Consider the following 24,942-nt stretch of genomic DNA (forward strand, 5'->3'; position numbering starts at 1 on the left):
AAAATTCCCAATGCAACAGCGTTAGGAGTTGAGGCCTTTAGGAGGTGGTTAGGGAATGATGCTCTGTCCTCATGAATGGGATTAGTAACCTTATAAAAGGGCTGGAAGGAGCTAGGCAGGCCCCCTTTTTGCCCTTCCATCCTTTCCACCATATGAGGACACAGCCATCCGTCCCCTCTGGAGGATGCAGCAACAAGGCGTCATCTTGGAAGCAGGGAGACTGGGCCCTCACCAGACACTGAACCTGCGGGCGCCTTGATTGTGGACTTCCAACCACCAGAACTGTGAGAAATGAATCTCTATTCTTTATGTGTTACCCAGTCTCAGTTACTTTGTTATAGAAGCATGAACAGACTCAACCTTAAATAGCATAGCAACCATGAAACCCCTTCCTAACAATTAAAAACACATGCTTTTTGCCCTCAGCCAACTGGTGTGTTCCTTTGCCTGAAAAATAAACTCAGCTGTGTTTGTTTTGCTTTGTTAACTTTGGTGGCCTTTAGTAATATTATTATTTGACAATTTGAACAGTACTATAGAGTTTACTTAGTTCCCATATAGCAACTTATTTGGGAAGAAATGTGATGCAATCCAACAGGATGGGCTTTTGAACCAAAAATATTCTGGGTCTGTCACTGATTAGCTCTATTTCCTTGGATAAGTCATTGTATCAGTCAAGGTCCCAGTCTCTGCCTAGAATTCTTTCTGTTCAGGCTTTGTGGGGGTGACTCTTCATCACTGTACTAGTTTAAGTATTACCTTCTTAGAGAAGCTTTCTTTACCATCCAATCTAAAAATTACCCTGGTTTAGTCTCTACATAGCACAGACTAAAATTATCTGGTGGACTTATTTGTTATATTTTATTTTGCCCCACCAGAATATTAGCTGTATGAAGTAGGGCGCTTGTATGGCCTGTCTGCTTACCCCTGGCACATCACAGCCTTTCCATAAATATATGTTGCAAGGAAAAGAGAGTGGATAGCGACAAACCAAACACAATGAGTTATTCTCTCTCTCAGGGAAATATTTAATATGGAGACGCATACTGAAAGGCATTGGAGAGTGATATGGTTTGGCTCTGTGTCCCCACCCAGATCTCATCTCAAATTATAATCCCCACGTGTCAGGGAAAGGACCTGGTGGGAGGTAACTGGATCATGAGGGTGGATTTCCCCTATTCTGTTCACATGATAGTGAGTTCTCAGGAGAGCTGATGGTTTAAAAGTGTGGCACATCCCCCCTTGCTCTCTCCCTCCTGCCACCTTGTGAAGAAGGTGCTTGCTTCTCCTTCACCTTCCACCATGATTACGTTTCCTGAGGCCTCCCCAGCCATGTGAAACTGTGAGTCAATTAAACCTCCTTTCTTCATAAATTACTCAGTCTCAGGTAGTTCTTTATAGCAGTGTGAGAATGGAGTAATACAGATAATTGGTACCAGGAGTGGGGCACTGCTATAAAGATACCTAAAAATGTGGAAGTGACTTTGGAACTGGATTATGGGCAAAGGTTGGAACGGTTTGGACGGCTCAGAAGAATACAGGAAGATGTGGGAAAATTTGGAACTTCTGAGAGACTTGTTGAATGGTTTTGACCAAAATGCTGATAGTGATATGGACCATGAAGTCCAGGCTGAGGTGGTCTCAGATAGAGATAAGGAACTCACTGGGAACTGGAGCAAAAGTCACTCTTGCTATGCTTTAGCAAACAGACTGGTGGCATTTTGCCCCTGCCCTAGAGAGCTGTGAAGCTATAAACCTGAGAAAGATTATTTAAGGTATCTAGCAGAAGAAATTTCTAAGCAGCAAAGCACTGAAGATGTGATCTGACTGTTTATGAAAGTTTACAGTCATATGCATTCACAAAGAGATGATCTGAAATTGCAACTTATGTTTAAAAGGAAAGCAGAGCATAAAAGTTTGGAAAATTTGCAGCCTGACCATGTGGAAGAATAGAAAAACTCATCTCCTGGGGAGAAATTCAAGCTGCCAGCTGCAAAAATTGGGTAAGTAAAGAAGAACCAAATGTTAATTGCCAAGACAATGCAGAAAATGTCTCCAGGGCAATTCAGAGACCTTCATGGCAGCCCCTCCCATCACAGGCCCAGAGGCCTAGGAGGGAAAAATGGTTTCATGGGCTGGTACCAGGGCCCCACTACTCTGCAGGCTTGGGACATGGCACCCTGCATCCCAGCCACAGTTGGGGGATGCAGGATGCCATGCCCATTTTAGCCACAACTACAGCTCCAGTTGTGGCTAAAAGGGGCCAAGGTACAGCTTGGGCTGTTGCTCCAGAGTGTGCTGCCCCATATCTTGGTGGCTTCTATGTGGTATTGGGCCTGTAGGTGTGCAGAAGGCAACAGTTAAAGTTTGAGAATCCTCCGCCTAGATTTCAGAGGATGTGTGGAAACACCTGGATATCCAGGCAGAAGTCTGCTGCAGGGGTAGTGCCCTCATGGAAAACCTCTACTAGGGCAGTGCAGAGGGGAAATGTGGAATGCGAGCTCCCACATGGAGTCCCCACTGGGGCACTGCCTAGTGGACCTGTGAGAAGAGGACAACCATCCTCCAGGCCCCAGAATGGCAGATCCACCAAGAGGTTGTACTGTGCACCTGGAAAAGCTGCAGGAACTCAAGGGCAGCCCATGAAAGCAGCTGCAGGGGCTGTACCCCGCAGAGTCACAGGAGCGGAGTTACCTAAGGCCTTGGGAGCCTACCTCTTGCATCAGCATGCTCTGGATGTGAGACATGGAGTCAAAGGAGATTATTTTGGAGCTTGAAGATTTAATGACTGCCAAGTTTCAGACTGGCAGTGGGGCCTGTAACCCCTCTGTTTTGGCCAGTTTCTCCATTTGGAATGGAAGCATTTACCCAATACCTGAACCCCTATTGTATCTTGGAAGTAACTAACTTGTTTTTTTATTTTACAGGCTCCTAGGCAGAAGGGACTTACCTTGTCTCAGAAGAGACTTTGGACTGTGACCTTTTGAGTTAATGCTGGAATAGGACTTTCGGTGGCTGTTGAGGAGGAATAATTGTATTTTGCAATCTGAAAAGGACATGAAATTGGGGAGGGGCCAGGGGCAGAATGATATGGTTTGGCCCTGTGCCCCCACCCAAATCTTTTCTCAAGTTGTAATCCCCATGAGTCAAGGGAGGGACCTGCTGGGAGGTGAATGGATCATAGGGGCAGATTTCCCCCATGCTCTTCTCATGATGTGAGTGAATTCTCATGAGATCTGATGGTTTAAGTGTTTGAGACTTCCCTCACTGGATCTCTCTCTCCTCCTGCCTTGTGAAAAAGGTACTTGCTTCTCCTTTGCCTTCTATCATGATTGTAAGTTTTCTGAGGCCTCCCCAGCCATATGGAACTGTGAGTCAATTACACCTCTTTTCTTCTTAAATTACCCAGTCTCACGTAGTTTTTTTTTTTTTTTTTTGAGATGGTATCTTGCTCTGTCAGCCAGGCTGGAATGCAATGGCATGATTTTGGCTCACTGCAACCTCCACCTCCCAGGTTCAAGTGATTCTCCTCTCTCAGCCTCCCAAGTGGCTGGGATTACAGGCATGCATCACTACGCCCAGCTAATTTCTGTATTTTTGGTAGAGACAGGGTTTCACCATGTTGGTCAGGCTGGTCTTGAATCCTGACCTCAGGTGATCCACCTGCCTTGGCCTCCCAAAGTGCTGGGATTACAGGCATGGGCTACCGCGCCTGGCCTCAGGTAGGTTTTTTTTGTTTTGTTTTTTCTTTTTTTTTTTTGAGACAGAGTTTCACTCCTTTTGCCCAGGCTGTAGTGCAATGGCATGATCTCAGCTCACCGCAACGTCCATCTCCCAGGTTCAAGTGATTCTCCTGCCTCAGCCTCCTGAGTAGCTGGGATTATAGGCATGTGCCACCACGCCTGGCTAATTTTGTATTTTTAGTAGAGACAGGGTTTCTCCATGTTAGTCAAGCTGGCTGCCAACTCCCAACCTCAGGTGATCCACCCACCTTGGCCTCCCAAAGTGCTGGGATTACAGGCGTGAGCCACCATGCCCAACCTAGGTAGTTCCTTATAGCAATGTGAGAATGGACGAATACAGATTTTACTCTCTGTAAAGATGGTAGCTTGTGGGGGATGATAAGACAACTGGGTCACTAGAGCTGGTGTGTCACCATAGCTGCTGTTATGCCTAAAAAAATGATGATCCATTGTCCAGTTTTCTATAAGGTTCAATATGTCTCAATCTTCGAATTGCAAGGGAACTAGACAGATTATAATTTCCAGGCTTTCCCTGTGTATCTTACAATAAACCCCATCACTTAAAATCATGTCCTGTAGACAAAGGAGAGTTAAGATGTACCGAGGAGTTCTGAGGGTCTAACTACTAGGAGCCTCCTGCAGATTTTGAAATTTCTCTTGTCTTCTATTTTATCTTACCATTGTTGACCTAAAAGGAAGAAGCTGAGGCAAAATTAATATAAGTAGAGAGTTTATTTGGGACAAGCTTGAGGATTGCAACTTAGTAACATAGATTCTAGTTGCCGTGAATATACATTCTGAGTAGCAGCAGTTACAAGTGGATTTTTTTTTTTGGAGGCAGTTTCACTCTTGTCACCCATGCTGGAGTGCAATGGTGTGATCTTGGCTCACTGCAACCTCCGCCTCCTGGGTTCAAGACATTCTTGAAGTCTTGAGTCTGCCTCAGACTCCCAAGTAGCTGGGATTACAGGCACCCACCATCACAGCTGGCTAATTGTTGTATTTTTAGTAGAGACAGGGTTTCGCCACATTGGTTAAGCTGGTCTCGAACTCCTGACATCAGGTGATCCACCCACCTCAGCCTCCCAAAGTGCTGGGATTACAGGTGTGAACCACCACACTCAGCCACAAGTGGATTTTTTTTTTTTTTTTTTTTTTGAGACAGGGCCTCGCACTGTTGCCCGGGCTGGAGTGCAGTGGTGCCATGTCAGCTCACTGCAAGCTCTGCTTCCTGGGTTCACGCCTTTCTCCTGCCTCAGCCTCCCGAGTAGCTGGGACTACAGGTGCCCGCCACCACGCCCGGCTAATTTTTTGTATTTTTAGTAGAGACAGGGTTTCACTGTGTTATCCAGGATGGTCTTGATCTCCTCACCTTGTGATCCGCCCACCTTGGCCTCCCAAAATGCTGGGATTACAGGCGTGAGCCACCACGCCCGGCCCACAAGTGGGTTTTTAAAAGGAAAGAAGAGGCAGTTCCTGAGTTATTTACCAATAATTTACATTAACATAACATAAGCTGTTGATTGGCTATCCATTATTAAGCTATAGGATATGGGTTATAATGTCTGGTGCAGCACCAGTAGGCTAATTTTCAGCTACTTGTGGCAATAGTAAGCAGTATAAAAAGATGAGTACATGCCTCAAAAGGGGGTGTGTGTAGGACAGGATTGCCGTCTCATTTTAATACCTCTCTGGATCTGATAATTGGAAAGGACTTGCATTCTTCAGATAAAAGTTCTTTTTCTCATTTCTTCCTTTTGATCAAAAATCTTTCCTTTTGAAAGCACTGATGATCAAAATCTGAGTGTCAAGGTATCCCTCATTGCCAGAAAGGCTCATGCCCAGGTAGTCCTACCAGTCATTGATTTATAGCTGCCATCACTTGTGGAATCACCTCTTCAGTGTACCATGAATTTAGTTTTCTCAGAAGAAATAAAACAATGAGAGATACACAGCGGAAATATTTTGAGGTTCCCAGGCCTGTCAGAAAGTGACATTCTTTACTTAACACAGGACAGAAATCTTGAAAGGGAACTACGTAGACAAGGGACCAGGCCAGTCTTTCCAAGAGGCTTTCTAATTGCCTCTATAGAGTCAACCTCCATTCTTCAAAGCAGTCTGGTCATATCTGAAAATATGTCATTCCAGTCAAATCCTTAGTAAAATAACAAGTGTCTCCAATTATATCCTGTTACAGAAAAAAGATTCTTATTAAATGTATGCAAATAACTAGATTGCCATAAAATAAGAGTACTCATGAATAGTTTCCAAATTTTGGAGTAATCAGGTAGAGAGAAAGGCAGATGTTTCAATGTTGTTCACAAAGGTATTTTTACCCAATTGTTATAAAGTATAAATAAATAGCTCAAGGAAAAAAAGTTTTCTTGACTCTGGAAGACAAAATAAAAAAAAAAACCAGCAATGTTTTAAATAAAAAGTCAGCAAATCTTTTCAGTCTTCTGTCAGTTCAGTCACATGTAATTAATTCGTGTTCTGCTTGATGTTGAGTTAGCAATCTAAGGAACACATCAGTTTATTACATACCTGAAAGTTGTTACTTAGTCCAATGATATGATCTCCAAAGTTATCAGAAACCTGTATTCAAGAGTACTTGTCAGGGTCCTATTCTATGAATTTCCTTGAAGAAAAAGCAAATTTTGAATTATAGACAATTGTAACTGCTTTATGAGAAGAGAAATAAAACTAATTGTTTTAGATAGCAAAAGACTTAGAATAGCCATGGTTAAAGATGCAATTGACAAGGAAATTTGGTTATTCCTGTGGTTTACAACAGTTTAACATAATAATCATAATTATGACTGATAACATATACCAAGACACATTAAAATTTTAGGAATCTCATACAAAACACATTCATCCTAATATAACTCAAAGAAAGTTAAACACCATTATTTCTTTGACAATGCTTTCCATATGATTTTAACATGCTAAATATGCCTAATATTCCTCTCTTGGACTTCCAGAGGTTCCTTTTGGAAAATACTTAATTTTAGAATTTGAAATTTGATTTTAGGAAGTATGTCCAATTTAAAAGTTTAAAATATTTGACCAAATAGGATCATAAGTCACTGTAAAATAGTATTCATTCATTTAGCCAAAGTGATAATTCAAAGATTGCAAAAAGCAAAACCCTTTACTCTTTGATAGAGAGTAAACTCGGTTTTCCAAACAATCCAAAGACCTTATAAAGACGGCATGAGACCAACAGAATCTCTCTTTCCCATTTTTTTTTTTTACTTAAAAGGTGAACTTTTTTTTACTGTTTCTTAAAAATACTTAAAAATCTTATTCAAAAGAGAAAACCAAATTTTACTTTTGCATCAGTATATTATTAATCCTAAGGCTAATTTCATTAAATCCTTATAAACAAATCTATCAAATCTCAGGCAGGTATTTTTTTTTGTTTTTTGTTTGTTTGTTTGTTTGTTTGTTTTAGATGGAGTCTCACTCTTGTTACCCAGGCTGGAGTGCAATGACCTGATCTCAGCTCACTGCAACCTCTGCCTCCCGGGTTCAAGTGATTCTCCTGCCTCAGCCTCCCAAGTAGCTGGGATTACAGGCACCTATCACCATACCCAGCTAATTTTTGTATTTTTAGTAGAGATGGTGTTTCACCATGTTGGCCAGGCTGGTCTCAAACTCCTGACCTCAGGTGATCTGCCCACCTCACCCTTCCAAAGTGCTGGGATTACAGGTGTGAGCCACCGCATCTAGCCCTCAGTTTTAACTGCATAAAATTTCTATAACCTTTAAAAATTTTTCTATTAAAGAGCAGATTAATGCTCCAAGAAAGCCCTGTTATTCTGAAACAGGGGTCCCACATCAGTGTGCTTTAAATATCAATGCATAATTTTTAGAAAAGTTAATAATCTCCTTCTAATTTTAGCCAACTTTATCACATACAAAATTCTTTTCATGAGATTAATCTTATACAAACCTTTTACAACTTGCTTACACCTTCAGTTTTGTCCTATACTTCATTTTTCTTATATTGGTATTCTACTTAGGACAAAGATTTACTATCCCCCTTATCATTTTGACCAAAGTCCCCTCTTACGTAAAGGAAAAAAATTACCCTTTTCAACTTTCTTTACATCTTCTTTATATGCTCTCTATGTAAATTTCTGGCCTAGTAGTTTTAGTTACATATATTAACCACAATGTTAACTCTTAGTAACCCTAATTTTCAGTGAAAAACCTAAGAAGTAAGCAACTTTATGTACCGTATGCAGAGCTCAGGACAAATGACAGTGCTATGGAGACAATGCCTGGAGGATCCAACTCCTTGCAGTAAAGCCAAGAGGCACAGCTCAACTAGGGATGATGGGGCCCAGGCACTGTCCCCAGGGCCACTTGTCTAGTCCTCAGAATCTAAAGGCTCAAATCCAAAGACATAAGCTCATAGACAAATTAAGCAAATACCAAAAAATACCATAAAAGCAATGGCCTTATGACCTTAAGACATTTAGCAGAGACAGTATAAACCAGTCTAACCAATAGATCTAGGCAAACATGTCTAAATTAAAATTTGAAGACGTTTCTATTTTACTTTACCAATAATTTAAAAACTATCTTAATTTAAACCCAAGATTACTAAAGTCAAGTGACCATGGAAAGCATTTGGGTTGGTTATATTATTTATGAGCACGTTTTCTATAAGTCAGTGGTACCATGTAGACAATATATAAACAGACATGTATACATGGTACACATAAATCAGACAGACACAGATAATGACTTCATAGCTTTAATTAAAAAATTTTAGCCACATTGAAACTGCTGGTGAACTGAGGTAAGAAAAACAAAACAAAACCAAGCAGAGAAAAAAATTTTAGTCATGAGACTGGTAAAACTCACTAGTTTTACAAGGACAGTTGGATTCAAACTGTACCTTTGTAAATGGAAAAGTTTAAAGTTTATCTGTTCCACATGGCTGAAGCTCGTACTGAGTTTTAGAGAAAATGCAGTAGTAACTTTATATCTCAAAGTACAAGGAGAAAGAATTTAAGCCTTTTCAAGGAGGAGTTTGGGTGTGTTGGAAGAAAATTAAAAATGGATGCCAAGGTAATACAAAATCACAGGAATCTATCATTGGATTTTATAAGGAGACCTATTTCACTTAGATAAGTAGCTTTTAATTTAGTCTGTTTTCCAGTTGGATCACTGAGCTCAGGGCAGAGCCCATTAAGGAGCAGGGCCATCAAAGCATTTACAGTTTTTAGAGCCTAATAATTTAAATATGTGAAAAGCAGATGCAATTGAAGGCAGAGCATCTAGAGCTTTATAAATTAAGGATTCCATTTTTAGGCTGAATCCTGGGTCCCCAAAAAGAGGGAAACTCCATGGGACTGGGCTATGCAACACTTTCATGGTGTACTTCAATACAAAAACATTTCTCTAAGTATTTAAACCGTGCCTTTCTTATCTTAACCAGCAAAGAAACCAGTAACTCCCTGTAGTAATAATAATAACCATTCACTGTAAACAACTGCTGTCAGCCACCTCCAGTAACTTGCCAGCCATCACATACACAAAGGTTAAGTGTTCTCTCACAGAACAAAGTAATATCCAGTACTCCTAAAAGTCAAAGGGATCAGGCGACACGATACAAAAGAGAGCAGAGTTTTGTGCTGGAAACTGTCATGAAATCTCTCCATGACTCTTCACACTCCACAGGAAGACAGAAGACCCCAGAAAGGGAGTGAGAGGCAGCTTTTTCTGTCTTCCTTTAGGGGTCTGAGTCATTAGAAGTCTCCTCTAGATCTTTTCATGTGGTACTGAAGACAGCAGAGAGATGGGAGGAGGTTGAATCTCATTTTTGTTTGTTTGTTTTTGAGATGGAGTCTCGCTCTGTCACCCAGGCTGGAATGCAGTGGTACGATCTCGGCTCACTGCAAGCTCCGCGTCCCAGGTTCACACCATTCTCCTGCCTCAGCCTCCCGAGTAGCTGGGACTACAGGCACCTGCCACCACGCCTAGCTAATTTTTTGTATTTTTAGTAGAGACGGGGTTTCACCGTATTAGCCAGGACAGTGTCGATCTCCTGACCTCGTGATCTGCTTGCCTTGGCCACCCAAAGTGCTGGGATTACAGGCTTGAGCCACCGCGCCCAGCCCTTGTTTGTTGTTTTGAGAGAGAGGGTCTCTCTGTTCTGCGGTACTGAAAGAAAAATAAAAAAATAGAAACAGGGTGTTGCTCTGTCACACAAGCGGGAGTGCGGTGTGACATGATTACAGTTCATCTAGCCTTGACACATTCTGGGCTTAAATGATCCTCGACCTCAGCTTCCTAAGCAGCTGGGACTACAGGCACACACCACCATGCCAAGATAAGTTTTGCTTTTACTTTTTGTAGAGACAGGGACTCATTACATTGACCAGGCCGGACTCAAGCAATCCTCCCACTGTGGCCTCCCGAAGTGGGCTGGGATTACAGACATCAGCCACCATGCCTGCGTGAATCTGTTTTTAATGAAGCTGGCTTTTGACTATGGAGTTCTTAAACACTTTTCGAGAAGGGGCCAAGATGGCCGAATAGAAACAGCTCCAGTCTGCAGCTCCCAGCGAGACCAATGCAGAAGGCAGGTGATTTCTTCATTTCCAACTAAGGTACCCAGTTCATTCCATTGGGACTGGTTAGACAGTGGGTGCAACCCATGGAGAGCAAGCAGAAGGGTGGGGCATTGCTTCACCACGGAAGTGCAAGGAGCTGGGGGACCTCCCTCCCCTAGCCAAGGGAAGCCGTGAGGGACTGTGCTACCCAGCCTGGATACTATGCTTTTCCCACGGTATTTGCAAGCCGGAGATCAGGAGAGTCCTTCGTGAGCCTACACCACCAGGGCCCTGGGTTTCAAGCACAAAACCAGGAGGCTGTTTGGGCAGGCACTGAGCTAGCTACAGTTTTTTCATACCCCAGTGGCGCCTGGAACCCCAGTGAGACAGAACTGTTCACTCCCCTGGAAAGGAGGCTGAAGCCAGGGAGTCAAGTGGTCTTGCTAAGTGGGTCCCACTCCCACGGAGCCCAGAAAGCTAAGAACCACTGGCTTGAAATTCTCACTGCCAGCACACCAGTCTGAAGTCAACCTGGGACAATTGAGCTTGGTGGGGGGAGGGGCATCTGCCATTACTGAGGCTTTAGTAGGCAGTTTTCCCCTGATAGTGATAAGGAGACTGGGAGGTTTGGACTGGGCAGAATTCACCACAGTGTGGCAAAGCGGCTGTGGCCAGACTGCTTCTCTAGATTCCTCCTCACTGGGCAGGGCATCTCTGAAGCAAAGGTAACAGCCCCAGTCAGGGGCTTACAGATAAAACTCTCACCTCCCTGGGACAGAGCACTGGATTGTCCCCAGAGCACTGCGGAGGGGCTGCTGTGGGCACAGCTTCAGCAGCCTTAATCTTTCCTGCCTGCTGGCTCTGAAGAGAGCAGCTGATCCTGACAAAGGGTATTCTCCCAACACAGGGTACCAGCTCTGCAAAGGGATGAAGTGCCTCCTTAAGTGGGTCCCTGACCCCCATGCCTCCTGACTGGGAGAAACCTCCCAACAGGGCTTGACAGAAACCTCCCAACAGGGGTTGACAGACACCTCATATAGGAGAGCTCCGGCTGGCATCAGGCTGGTGCCCCTCTGGGACAAAGCTTACAGAGGAAGGAGCAGGCAGCAATCTTTGCTGTTCTGCAACCTCCACTGGTGATACCCAGGCAAATAGGGTCTAGAGAGGATGTTTAGCAAACTGCAGCAGACTTGCAGAAGAGGGGCCTGACTGTTAGAAGAAAAACTAACAAACAGAAAGCAACAACAACATCATCAACAAAAAAGACTCCCACACAAAAACTCCCATCCAAATGTCATCAGCCTCAAATATCAAAGGTAGATAAATCCACGAAGATGAGGAAAAGCCAGCACAAAAACACTGAAAATTCCAAAAACCAGAATGCCTCCTCTCCTCCAAATGATCGCAACTCCTCTCCAGCAAGGACACAAAACTGGACAAATAATGAGATTAACGAATTGACAGAAGTAGGCTTCAGAAGGTAGGTAATAACAAACTCCTTTGAGCTAAAGGAACATGTTCTAACCCAATGCAAGGAAGCTAAGAACCTTGATAAAAGGTTACAGGAACTGCTAACTAGAATAACCAGTTTAGAGAGGAACATAAATGACCTGATGGAGCTGAAAAACACAGCACAAGAACTTCCTGAAGCATACACAAGTATCAATAGCTGAAACAATCAAGTGGAAGAAAGGATATCAGAGATTGAAGATCACCTTGCTGAAATAAGGTGTGAAGACAAGATTAGAGAAAAAAGAATGAAAAGGAATGAACAAAGCCTCCAAGAAATATGGGGCTATGTGAAAAGACTAAACCTACGATTGATTGGTGTATCTGAAAGTGATGGGGAGAATGGAACCAAGTTGGAAAACACACTTCAGGATATTATCCAGAACTTCCCCAACCTAGCAAGACAGACCAACATTCAAATTCAGGAAATACAGAGAACACCACTAAGATATTCCTTGAGAAGATCAACCCCAAGACACATAATCATCAGATTCCCAAACATTGAAACGAAGGAAAAAATGTTAAGGGCAGACACAGAGAAAGTTCAGGTAACCTACAAAGGGAAGCCCGTCAGACTAACAGCAGATCTCTCTGCAGAAACCCTACAAGCCAGAAGAGAGTGAGGGCCAATATTCAACATTCTTAAAGAAAAGAATTTTCAACCCAGAATTTCATACCCAACCAAACTAAGCTTCTTAAGCAAAGGAGAAATAAAATCCTTCCCAAACAGGCAAATGCTGAGGGATTTTGTCACCACCAGGCTGGTCTTACAAAAGCTCCTGAAGGAAGCACTAAATATGGAAAGGAAAAACCAGTACCAGCCACTGCAAAAACATACCAAAATATAAAGACCAGTGACACTATGAAGAAACTGCATCAACTAATGTGTAAAATAACCAGCTAGCATCATGATGACAGGATCAAATTCACATATAATAATATTAACATTAAATGTAAATAGGCTGAACGCCCTAATTAAAAGACACAGACTGGCAAATTGGATAGAGTCAAGACCCATCAGTGTGCTGTATTTAGGAGACCCATCTCACATGCAAAGACATACATAGGCTCAAAATAAAGGGACGAGCAAATGGAAAGCAAAAAAAAAAAAAAAAAAAAAGCAGGGGTTGCAATCCTAGTCTCTGATAAAACAAACTTTAAACCCAAAAAGTTCAAAAAAGACAAGGGCATTACAGAATGGTAAAGGGATCAATGCAACTAACAATAGTTAGAGAAGAGCTAACTATCCTAAATATATATGCACCCAATACAGGAGCACCCAGATTCATAAAACAAGTTCTTAGAGACCTATAAAGAGACTTAGACTCCCACACAATAATAGTGGGAGACTTTAACACCACACTGTCAATATTAGACAGATCAACAAGACAGAACATTAACAAAGATATTCAGGACTTGTACTCAGCTCTGGATCAAGTGGACTTAATAGATATCTATAGAACTCTCCACCCCAGATCAACAGAATATACATTCTTCTCAGTACCTCATGGCAGTTATTCTAAAATTGACCACATAATAGGAAGTAAAACACTCCTTAGCAAATGCAAAAGAATGGAAATCATAACAGTCTCTCAGACCACAGTGCAATTAAATTAGAACTCAGGATTAAGAAACTCACTCAAAACTGCACAATTACATGGAAATTGAACAACCTGCTCCTGAATGACTCCTGGATAAATATCGAAATTAAGGCAGATAAAGAAGTTCTTCGAAACCAATGAGAACAAAAAGACAATGTACCAGAATCTCTGGGACACAGCTAAAGCAGTGTTAAGATGGAAATTTATAGCACTGAATGCCCATATCAGAAAGCTGGAAAGATCTGAAATCGTCACCCTAACATCACAATTAAAAGAACTAGAGAAGCAAGAGCAAACAAATTCAAAAGCTAGCAGAAGACAAGAAATAACTAAGATCAAAGCAGAACTGAAGGAGATAGAGACACAAAAAACCCTTCAAAAAATCAATGAATCCAGAGGTAGTTTTTTTAAAAAATTAACAAAATAGACCACTAGCTAGACTAACAAAGAAGAGACAAGAATCAAATAGACACAATAAAAAATGATAAAGGGGATATCACCACTGATCCCACAGAAATACAAACTACCATCAGAGAATACTATAAACACCTCTATGCAAATAAACTAGAAGATCTAGAAGAAATGGATAAATTCCTGGACACATACACCCTCCCAAGACTAAACCAGGAAGAAGTCGAATCCCTGAATAGACCAATAACAGGCTCTGAAATTGAGGCAGTAGTTAATAGCCTACCAACCAAAAAAAGCCCAGGACCAGAGAGACTGACAGCCGAATTCTACCAGAGGTACAAAGAGGAGCTGGTACCATTCCTTCTGAAACTATTCCAAACAACAGAAAAAGAGGGACTCCTCCCTAACTCATTTTATGAGGCCAGCGTCCTCCTGATACCAAAACCTGGCAAAGACACAACAAAAAAAGAAAATTTCAGGCCAATATCCCTGATGAACATCGATGTGAAAATCCTCAATAAAATATTGGCAAACCGAATCCAGCAGCACATCAAAAAGCTTATCCACCACAATCAAGTTGGCTTCATCATTGGGGTGCAAGGCTGGTTCAACATATGCAAATCAACAAACGTAATCTATCACGTAAACAGAACCAATGACAAAAACCACGATTATCTCAATAGATACAGAAAAGGCCTTCGATGAAATTCAACATCTCTTCATGTTAAAAACTCTCAATAAACTAGGTATTGATAGAACATATCTCAAAATATTAAGAGCTATTTATGACAAACCCATAGCCAAGATCATACTGAATGGGCAAAAGCTGGAGGCATTCCCTTTGAAAACTGGCACAAGACAAGGATGCCCTCTCTCACCACTCCTATTCAACATAGTATTGGAAGTTCTGGCCCAGGGCACTCAGGCAAGAGAAAGAAATAAAGGGTATTCAAATAGAAAGAGAGGAAGTCAACTTGTCTCTGTTTGCAGACGACATGATTATATATTTAGAAAACCCATTGTCTGAGCCCCAAAATCTCCTTAAGCTGACAGGCAACTTCAGCAAAGTCTCAGGATCAAAAATCGCAAGCATTCCTGTACACCAATCATAGAGAACAGAGAGCCAAATCACGAGTGAACTCCCATTCACAATTGCTACAAAGAGAATAAAATACCTAGGAATACAGTTTTCAAGGGACGTGAAGGATCTTTTCAAGGAGAACTACAAACCACTGCTCAAGGAAATGAGAGGACTCAAACAAATGGAAAAAAATTCCATGCTCATGGATAGGAAGAATCAATATCATGAAAATGGCCATACTGCCCAAAGTAATTTATAGATTCAATGCTACTCCCATTAAGCTACCATTGAGTTTCTTTGCAGAATTATAAAAAACTACTTTAAATTTAATATGGAACCAAGAAAGAGCCTGCATAGCCAAGACAATCATAAGCAAAAATAACAAAGTTGGAGGCAGCACGCTACCTGACCTCAAACTATACTGCAAGGCTACAGTAACCAAAACAGCATGATACTGGTACCAAAACAGATACATAGACCAATGGAACAGAACAGAGACCTCAGAAATAACACCACACATCTACAACCATCTGATCTTTGACAAACCTGACAAAAACAAGCAATGGGGAAAGAATTCCCTATTTAATAAATGGTGCTGGGAAAACTAGCTAGCCATATGCAGAAAACAGAAACTGGACCCCCTCCTTACACCTTATACAAAAATTAACTCAAGATAGATTAAAGACTTAAATGTAAAACCCCAAGCCATAAAAACCCTAGAAGAAAACCTAGGCAATACCATTCAGGACATAGGCATGGGCAAAGACTTCATGACTAAAACACCAAAAGCAATTGCAACAAAAGCAAAAATTGACAAATGGGATCTAATTAAACTAAAGAGTTTCTGCACAGCAAAAGAAACTATCACCAGAGTGAAAAGGCAACCTACAGAATGAGAGAAAAATTTTGCAATCTACCCATGTGTCAAAGGTCTAATATCCAGAATCTACAAGGAACTTAAACAAATTTTCAAGAAAAAAAACAAACAACCCCAACAAAAAGTGGGCAAAGAATATGAACAGACACTTCCAGAAGAAGAGATTGATGTGGCCAACAAACATATGAAAAATAGCTCATCATCAGTGGTCATTAGAGAAATGCAACTCAAAACCACAGTGAGATACTATCTAATACCAGTTAGAATGGCAATTATTAAAAAGTCAGGAAACAACAGATGCTGGCAATGCTGTGGAGAAACAGGAATGCTTTTACACTTGTTGGTGAGAGTGTAAATTAATCCAACCATTGTGGAAGACAGTGTGGTGATTCCTCAAGCATCTAGAACCAGAAACACCATTTGACCCAGCAATCCCATTACTGGATATACACCAAAAGGGTTATAAATCATTCTGGTATAAAGACACATGCACATGTGTGTTTGCCGCAGCACTTTACAATAGCAAAGACTTGGAACCAACCCAAATGCCCATCAATGACAAGCTGGAAAAAGAAAATGTGGCACATAAACACCATGGAATACTATGCAGCTATAAAAAAAGAGTTCATGTCCTTTCCAGGGACATGGATGACGCTGGAAGCCATCATTCTCAGCAAATTAACACAGGAACAGAAAACCAAACACCACATGTTCTCACTAATAAGTGGGAGATGAACAATGAGAATAGATGGACACAAGAAGAACATTAAACACCGGGGCCAGTCGGGGTGGGGCCAAGGGAAGGGAGAACATTAGGACAAATACCTAATGCACGTGGGGCTTAAAACCTAGATGACAGTTGGTAAGTGTAGCACACCACCATGGCACAAGTATATCTATGTAACAAACCTGTACATTCTGCACATGTATCGCAGAATTTAAAGTAAAATTTAAAAAAAATAAAAACTTTTCAAATCTCTCATTATCAAGTATTAGCCAGCACAAATAGCTGTTATTCCTGGCTTTTGAACTTTAAAAAACAAACAAACAAACAAAAAACAAAGGTACCCTTCCAAATGACTCACCAAAACCAATAAGCCTTTATCAAGGTTATGACTTAACCAAGGATGCATGGGGCATCTCCAAAGGAGGTGCAACACAGTCCTCACAAGATCAAGAATCATCCCAAAGACAGCTCAAAGAAAGGGAAGTTTCACTAGCCACAAGTAAAGTACAACTCACATTTCTATCTGATCTCAGCTTCTCAGCTGGTTACTCATGAAGGCCCAAATGGTCTGTATGTCCCACAAATGGAAAAAGACAGGAAATCAAAAGTTGTCCATGGAAGAGATAAGGATCAATAACAATTGGTATCCCAAAAGGTTAAGAATCATACAATACTTTAAAACAAATGAGATTAGCTCCCTGGCTAGGAATTGAACTCAGGCTACAGTGGTGAAAGCACCAAATCCTAGCCATTATACCACTGGATGGGGTGTTTTCTTTGTTTTTGTTTTCATTTTTTTGTTTGTGTGTTTGTTTTTTGGTAAATTTTGCAGGGAATCCAAAGCAGGCAGTTTAAGCATTTAAGGATTTTATCTTGTCTTAGATCTGATCTCATCTGGAATGCTGCTTAGCTAATTCCCTGAATGTTAGCATTTTAAAGACATGATAAGATTTAAAGGGTACTGTCTCACAGTGGGTCAATAAATCAGTGTGTATTAGTTCATTCTCACACTGCTATAAAGAACTACCTGAGACCGGATAATTTATAAATAAAATTGGTTTAATTGACTCACAGTTCTACATGGCTGGGGAGGCCTCAGGAAACTTAAAATCAGGGTGGAAGGTGAAGGAGAAGCAAGCACCTTCTTCACAAGGCAGTAGGAGAGAGAAAGCCAGAAAGGGAACTGCCAAACACTTTTTTTTTTTTTTTTTTTTTTTTGAGACGGAGTCTCGCTCTGTCGCCCAGGCCGGACTGCGGACTGCAGTGGCGCAATCTCGGCTCACTGCAAGCTCCGCTTCCCGGGTTCACGCCATTCTCCTGCCTCAGCCTCCCGAGTAGCTGGGACTACAGGCGCCCGCCACCGCGCCCGGCTAATTTTTTGTATTTTTAGTAGAGACGGGGTTTCACCTTGTTAGCCAGGATGGTCTCGATCTCCTGACCTCATGATCCACCCGCCTCGGCCTCCCAAAGTGCTGGGATTACAGGCGTGAGCCACCGCGCCCGGCCACTGCCAAACACTTTTAAACCATCACATCTCGTAAGAACTCCCTCCCTATCATGAAAACAGCATGGGGGAAACTGCCTCCATGATCCAATCATCTCCCACCAGGCTTCTCCCCCGACACGTGGGGATTACAATTCGAGATGACATTTTGTTGGGAACACAGAGCCAGACCATATCACAGTGTCATTCACTAGACCTGGTGAGAAAAAATTTTGTTGGATCTGCATTTTTATAGTCTCAGCAGTCTTATTCCCATTCTGTTGTTGTTCTGCTTGTTCCTTCTGCTCTAAATTTAAATTCATTTCCCCTGAGAGAAGGAAATGTGTACATTGTGAAATTTTAAAACATCTCTGCCTAAGAGATGTATGGAAGCCAAGAGAAGCGGCAGAAAGGGATGAGTTCAGATCACAGGGCTGGAAGGAAAAGGAGGGTCTGGAGGTGAAAGGGAGAAAGCCTCTGAAGTCTTTTAACATAGTTTCAAATATCCCTTTGTTTACCTCTTGAATGAAGGTGACTTTTTCTTTCAGGATTTCTTTTAGAAGTTTTTAGGTGCCAGTGGAAGTCAGTCTCTTATTTACATGTCTGGTTCTAAAACCAGCTCTTTCCAATGGTGTGCACAAATAAATTACTTTAGGTATATCAAAAGATCCCCATTTTTGGTCATTGTTGCCTATGATCATTCCAGGTTAGATGGGTCTACTTTCCCAGATACTACAAGACAGTACCCCATAAATCATATATGTAGTTCCAGCAGGTATTTCTAAAAAGAGTGTTCAGGTTTTGAACACTCTTATTATTGATTTCTCATAACTCAGGAACTTTTCAAAAGTGACCAAAGCCAGGAATGTGTTTAGGATCAAAGTGTGGCATGTTTTGGACTGTCTCTAATTGTCAGATGGCAGCAGAGTCCTCAAGGATGAGGACAATTGGATTGTCTGTAATTGTCAGATGGCAGCGGAGTCCTCAAGGTATGGGGGACCAGACCCTCGTATTACGTCCACCTGGAAGAGCAAAAGGGGTACACATTTCAGTTAGGAACTAACAGGAATTAGTTAAAATTAAAGACTAATTCAGAATTTTCAAGTGATAGTAAACAACTGCTATCTCAAACACATACGATATAAAATGAAACCACTGGTGCCTAACTGCCAGTTCTTTCACTCAAACCTCTGCTGTGAGACAGAGGTGAAAAAAACTTGACCCAAACCCCTGGTTCTGAGGCAGAGGCAGAAAAACCATGACCTGCACCTCTGCTGTAAGACAGAGAGGGAAAAAAGGCAGTTCCCTGCAGAGCTCTATACCCGAATCTTCTGTCCAAAGACAGAGACCGAAGCCCTCACACTTAAAGAAAGGGTTTGAAAAACAGCCCAAATAAAGTCTAGACCTTCAACCCAAGAGTAGGAGGTCCAAATTCCGGAGAACTCATCTGAAACACCTGATGAGACTTCTGAAGGAAGAGAGTTCACACTGGTACCAAGCGCTGCTTTCAGAGAGAAACACCACCAGCTGGTTGGGGGGAGTCACTGTGAATCCTGCTGACTTACTCCAGATGTTTTACCTAAAAGGAAGAAGCGGAGGCAAAATTAATATAAGTTGGGAGTTTATTTGGGCCAAGCTTGATGACTGCAACCTGGGAACATAGATTCAGGTTGCCTTGAATATACACTCTGAGTAGCAGCAGTTACAAGTGGATTTTTAAAGGGAAAGATGAGGCAGTGCCTGAGTTATTTACCAAGAATTTACATTAAAATAAATCAAGCTACTGATTGGCTATACATTATGAAACTATAGGATGAGGGTTATAATGTCTGGTGCAGCATTAATTAGTAGGTTAATGTTTAGCTTCTGTGGCAATAGTAAGCAGTTTCAAGAGACAAATACACAGTTCAAAAGTGGGGGAGAAGGACAGGATTGCTGTTTCACTTTAATGCCTCTCTGGGCCTCATAATTTAAAAGGATTTGCATTCCTCAGATAAAGTTCTTTTCTTAACATTTAAACAAATTTTCGTCTTGGTATCATAATATAGCTGTCTGTATGTTAACATAGGAATGCTTTAAATTATTTTACCATTTATAAAATTTGTGATGCAGGAAAGCCATGCTATCCTGGGTCTTTACCTTCTGAGTAGCAATTATACCTCAGGGATACACGTTTGTAGTCTGAGAAGTGCTGGCATTTTTTTTTTCCTTTGCAACTCAGAAGTCTCTAATTAAAGTTCTCTTTTAGCATTATTCATTCACTCTTTGATAAATATTTACTGAACATCTTTATTTGCTAGACACATCAACAGGACTGAGGATACAACTGTGAACAAGATATGTATGACTCTTATCTTCATGGGAGCTATCATTTAGAGAGAAAGAAAGGGGAAAAAAGAGAAAATTAAAATATATTGTGATGTGTGCTAAGATAAAGAGGGAAACTTAGAGTGCTAAGAGAAATGTAAAAAATGTTACCTATCCTGTGTTAGCTTGCATAGGAAAAAAAAAATGAAGAAAACTGTCACCTAATCCCAGAGCAGGTGTTGAAGAAAGATTTTCGGCCAGACGCAGTGGCTCATACCTGTAATCCCAGCACTTTGGGAGGCCAGGCCGAGGCAGGAGGATCGCTTGAGCCCAGGAGTTCAAGACCAGCCTGGGCAACAGAGTGAAACCCTGTGTCTACAAAAAAATTTAAAAAGTAGCTTGGTGTGGTGATGTCTGCCTGTGGTCCCACCTACATGGGAGGCTGAGGCAGCATGATCCTTTAAACCCAGGAGGTCAAGGCTGCAGTGAGTCATGTTCATGTGACTGCACTCCATCCTGGGTGACAGAGTCAGAGTGAGATTCTGTCTCAAAAAAAAAAAACCAAAAAAATTTCCAGGACCAAACAGTCTACAGGATGAGCTGGAGTTAGCCAGGTAAAGAATGGGAAAGAATATTCCATGCCTGGCTTAGAGCAAGCTCCGGAGGCTAGAGAGAACAAGGACTCTATGGGAACAAATTCAGTGTGCTAGTTAGTGGGCAGATGTCAAAAGCGCAAAGGAGAAAAGTGGGGGGGGGGTGGTGGTGAGGAAGCTGGAGAGAAAAATCAAGGCAGGTTATGAAGGGCCTCTGTTAAACAGTTTAGAAGGGTATTGAAAGTCACCAAAAGGATTTAAGCTTAAGAAGAACTAATTAACATGTGTTTTTAAAAAAGATTGCTCAGGAACTATGTCTGGAAAAGAACAAGGACTTGACTTACATTAAGGTAAGAAGTGGAATTATAAAATCTGGGGCCCAAAGGAATTGGAGTGAGTTAATTCCTCCCCTTTAAAGTGTCTATTTTCTTCAAAGATAACCACTATATCATCTCTGGGGCTAACATTCTCTGGCCCTTTCCCACTGTCTCTGGCAGCTCCCGACCCAAGTCACTACAGTTACAGCATTCCCTTAAGGAACACATGCTTTTCCAACCTGCTGCAACACAGAAAGCACATGTAATTTTTTATTTTATTGTATTTTATTTGTTTTTCTGAGACAGAATTTCACTCTGTTGCCCAGGCTGGAGTGCAGTGGTGTGATCTTGGCTCACTGCAACCTCTGCCTCCTGGGTTCAAGTGATTCTTGTGCCTCGGCCTCCCAAGTAGCTGAGATTATAGGTGTATGTCACCACACGCAGCTAACTTTTGTATTTTTAGTAGAGACGGGGTTTCACCATGTTGGCCACGCTGGTTTCGAACTCCTGACCTCAGGTGATCCACCCACCTCAGCCTCCCAACGTGCTGGGATTACAGGTGTGAGCCACCGTGCCGGGCCTGGCCTTTCTATCTGGCTTTTTTGATTTGATATCCTAGTAGAGCCCACTATTAAAATTTCCATCTATAGAAACAGGAAGTCAGGAAAGGACTGGAGGGAATTTCGGCAGGTTAATGATTACAACGGGAAGAGAATACAATTATTGAGGTGTTTTGACTCACTTGGTCATTTCCTGAGAAACTCTTTGCTTGAATTTTTCCACTCTTCAGGTGAAGATGATGACACTGTCCAGGCTTTCAGGAGTCCAACCTCTTAGACAATAAGCGACATACTCTTTGGTAACTGCAGTGGCTAAGCCAAGGAATAAATATGCATAACTACAACAAACAGGTACTTGATGAGAACGTTATCTAGAGCTGCCAGATAATTTAGACCAAGTGCACCTTTTGTTGTAAGAAGCTGGTATGATGTCCACATAGTTTTCAGGGCTGCTGTTCCCTCTAAGAAGAAGGAATAGTCTTTTTCCTGAACTACTCTCTCTCTGAACTTTTAGGCTACAATTATGTCAGTTCAAAGTGGGCAGATTTGCCAACTGAAAAAATGATGACACGCAGCTTCCCAACTCTGTAAGGACTTTTCAGGTCTGTGGGTGAACGTCATTCCCGAGCAAACCAATGCCACAAGATTAGTAGGATGCGGCTCACAAGAAATGTTTACAATGAAGGGCATCACAGACTGCAAACCAAACAGGGTAGGAGGACACGGGACCATTTCCTTTTCCTGTCTCCATCTGACTCTGGAAGGCGGGGACAAGACATTTAAAACCAGGACCACTCCAGGAGGACAGCACATTAGCTACTGCCCTCCAGCTCCCTTCAGTGTTGTTTCCGTAAAGGACTTATAAACTGGCGAGGGCGGTGGCTTCCAAAAGCGCACAGGCGTCCCTTTTCCAACTTGGTCTTCTTATTTTCCCTTCCTGCTCCATAACTACAACGTGTTTCTGTTCGTAATCATCTCGGCTTTTCCTTACCTCTGCTTGTAAGAAAAGTCCTTTGCGCCATTCCCCTCCAAGCCCCAGGGAAGGGCCTGGAAAGCGCTTACACCTCAGACCCAGTGTCGGTCAGCCGTCAAGGAGCGAGCGACGTGGGAAACCCTGAGATAGGACATTGGCCCGGCGCTGGGCTCGGGTAACGATGCGGGGCGGGGAGCGCGGGCGGCCGGGGAGGGCGGCGGCCCCTTTAAGAGCAGGCCACGCCCCCTCCCCTCCTCCCGTTCGCTGCCAGCGGTCGGTGGCGGCCGCTACGGTGCTGACAAGATGGCGGCTGGCGGAGCTGTCGCTGCGGCGCCCGAGTGCCGGCTTCTCCCCTACGCGCTACACAAGTGGAGCTCCTTTTCCTCCACCTACCTTCCCGAGTAAGTGCCGGGCCTTGAGCTCGTGCTGCCCCACCCTTCCGCGTCAGCACGGTTGGGCCAGGGGTGCAATGGAGGGCAGCCGAGCCGAGAGGCCCAGGCGGGGCCTGCTGAGGGGGACGTGCGGCCTCCGGAGTCTTAGTTCAGCTGCTGAGAGCGTTGCTCGGCCTCGCTCGGGAAGGGGTTAGGGTCCGGAGAGCGAGCCCAGGGAGAAGGGGCGAGGTGTGTGGCGGATCCGGGGCGCGCACAGGAGAACCGGAAGCCCAGCGGTTCTGCGCTTGGGATTTGGGGGTTGAGGTTGAGGAGGGCTTGGGGGGCGGACGGCTCTGGGGCAGGAATCGGAGTTGGCGGGGCCCTGCCCGCGGGCAAACTACCCCGAATGTCTGAGGTCGTCCGAGGTGGTCGGCGTCGGGGGACAGTTCAGTCGATTGCTGCCGGGACAAAGTGTAAAGCCGAGGAGTGTCTATTCCAGAGTGGGGTCATTAAAAGTGATTAGCTCTAGAGTAGTGTTAAAAGTCACGGAAGGCTGAAAAGTTGTGGAATCCATCTGAATCCTAGCAGGCGGGGAGAACTTGTAGGATTGGCAGACGTTGTCTTTAATGCCTGGAAGTTCTGAAAAAGATAGGGAGTGGGAAGGAGGGACGTTACCGAAGAATTTCAGTATTACGGCTCATTAGAAGATGGGTTTGTATGGACACAGACACGTTTCCCAGTCCGGAAACTCAAACATAGAAACATCTGGCTTTAATGAATTTGATTTTCAACACCGGCTTTGTCTTGATCCCTGATTTAGGTGTTAAAAAAATTCAGTTGCATTGTTAGGTTTTTGTTGGTGGTGTTTTTTTCTCTAGCAAATTCCTTCTGAAATGCTGAAAATACTCTTACATAGTATCTTATTTATCTTTGGCTTATCTTTGAAAGGAGGAGCAGATCTAACTCCAATTTTACATGCTAGTGGAGGAACTGGCTTAGTAAAGGGTTAAGATCTGTGCAGATCCTGAAGAAAAGTGCTAGTTGTCCCTCTAACCATCTCACAGGACCGAAACGATTTTATGAACGAAACAAATTAATGAATAATATATTTTACTGAGTATTTTACTAAACAAAAAAGTGACTAGATCTGTGAAGCATACTCAAGTAAGTTTTCCATCTGTATTTGAGAAATTCTTCACATTTATCCAAATTTGATTTCACTGGTTATATCAATGAAGAATCTCAAAATGGAGCTGCAACTGGAAGAATCTGTCATGACTGCCAGCCTCCCATTTTATTCACCAGGTCAAGGGTTGGCATTCAGTAGGATCTGGCCCAATGAAGGGTGCCAAGTGACCTGTGGTTTGATCTGGCCTGCGTAGCCTATTCATGGCCATATCCCTGATTGATGCTGAAACCCAACTTTGAATTTGAGAGTGAGCCAGATAAACAGTCCAGCCATGTAGTTGGAGTTGAAATGTGGCCCTATGTACTTGACCTCTGATATTCTGGGCTATCTTGTTCTTGGATCTGAAGTTATTCAGCTTTTTTCTATACCCAGGCTAGGATTATGGACAGTTGGGAATTGGTGTGGCATTGTTTGATCTAACTGTAGAGACATTTTTCTGGTCTTGAATTAGCGTATTTCCAGGACGTCACTCCTTAAATTTTTGATGTAGGCCTGAGGCTTGGATAACACAAGTACCATCCGCGTTATCTGTTGTATAGACATTTTAAGAAAGTACATTTCAAGCAGGAAATGATTTAGTGGGATGGCAACTTTAATCTTTTGTGTCTTGTTACTCTGGCCCCTGGTT

The 24,942-nt window shown here is 42.6% G+C and overlaps 1 protein-coding gene and 1 long non-coding RNA gene across 7 annotated transcripts in view, besides 4 other annotated features; one reads left to right on the plus strand and one right to left on the minus strand.

The window, feature by feature from the left end:
• MKLN1 (muskelin 1) overlaps positions 1-24,942 on the plus strand; it is a 386,539-nt gene that overhangs the window by 194,749 nt on the left and 166,848 nt on the right. For 4 of the 6 annotated variants that reach the window (NM_001321316.2, NM_013255.5, XM_006715993.4 and 1 more), the window contains exon 1: positions 23,034-23,155. The exons of the other annotated variants lie outside the window; for them this stretch is intronic. Coding sequence is in view for 3 of the 4 variants with exons in the window: in NM_013255.5 (NP_037387.2) it covers positions 23,058-23,155 (98 nt within the window). In the remaining variant the exon portion in view is untranslated. Of the gene's footprint in view, positions 1-23,033; positions 23,156-24,942 lie in introns of those variants that run through there. 6 annotated transcript variants of the gene reach the window in all.
• On the minus strand, positions 4,902-22,937 carry MKLN1-AS (MKLN1 antisense RNA). The gene is made up of 6 exons (NR_125364.1): positions 22,773-22,937; positions 21,964-22,093; positions 19,461-19,583; positions 18,523-19,026; positions 6,288-6,381; positions 4,902-5,931 (listed from the first exon to the last, which is right to left on the minus strand). It is a non-coding gene; the product is annotated as an MKLN1 antisense RNA (long non-coding RNA).
• Positions 22,799-23,375: an enhancer, noted in NCBI's record as "NANOG-H3K27ac-H3K4me1 hESC enhancer chr7:131012400-131012976 (GRCh37/hg19 assembly coordinates)". NCBI's record gives its function as "activates a minimal SCP1, AML or CMV promoter by ChIP-STARR-seq in naive and primed H9 embryonic stem cells {active_cell/tissue: H9 hESC(naive and primed)}" and the evidence as "EXISTENCE:reporter gene assay evidence [ECO:0000049][PMID:30033119]".
• Positions 22,860-23,019: a silencer, noted in NCBI's record as "silent region_18661". NCBI's record gives its function as "represses an Ori minimal core promoter by ATAC-STARR-seq in GM12878 lymphoblastoid cells {active_cell/tissue: GM12878}" and the evidence as "EXISTENCE:reporter gene assay evidence [ECO:0000049][PMID:35858748]".
• Positions 23,070-23,369: an enhancer, noted in NCBI's record as "active region_26676". NCBI's record gives its function as "activates an Ori minimal core promoter by ATAC-STARR-seq in GM12878 lymphoblastoid cells {active_cell/tissue: GM12878}" and the evidence as "EXISTENCE:reporter gene assay evidence [ECO:0000049][PMID:35858748]".
• Positions 23,376-23,952: an enhancer, noted in NCBI's record as "NANOG-H3K27ac-H3K4me1 hESC enhancer chr7:131012977-131013553 (GRCh37/hg19 assembly coordinates)". NCBI's record gives its function as "activates a minimal SCP1, AML or CMV promoter by ChIP-STARR-seq in primed H9 embryonic stem cells {active_cell/tissue: H9 hESC(primed)}" and the evidence as "EXISTENCE:reporter gene assay evidence [ECO:0000049][PMID:30033119]".

The sequence above is a fragment of the Homo sapiens genome, chromosome 7 (assembly GCF_000001405.40).
Source record: "Homo sapiens chromosome 7, GRCh38.p14 Primary Assembly".
NCBI classification, from domain to species: Eukaryota; Metazoa; Chordata; class Mammalia; order Primates; family Hominidae; genus Homo; species Homo sapiens.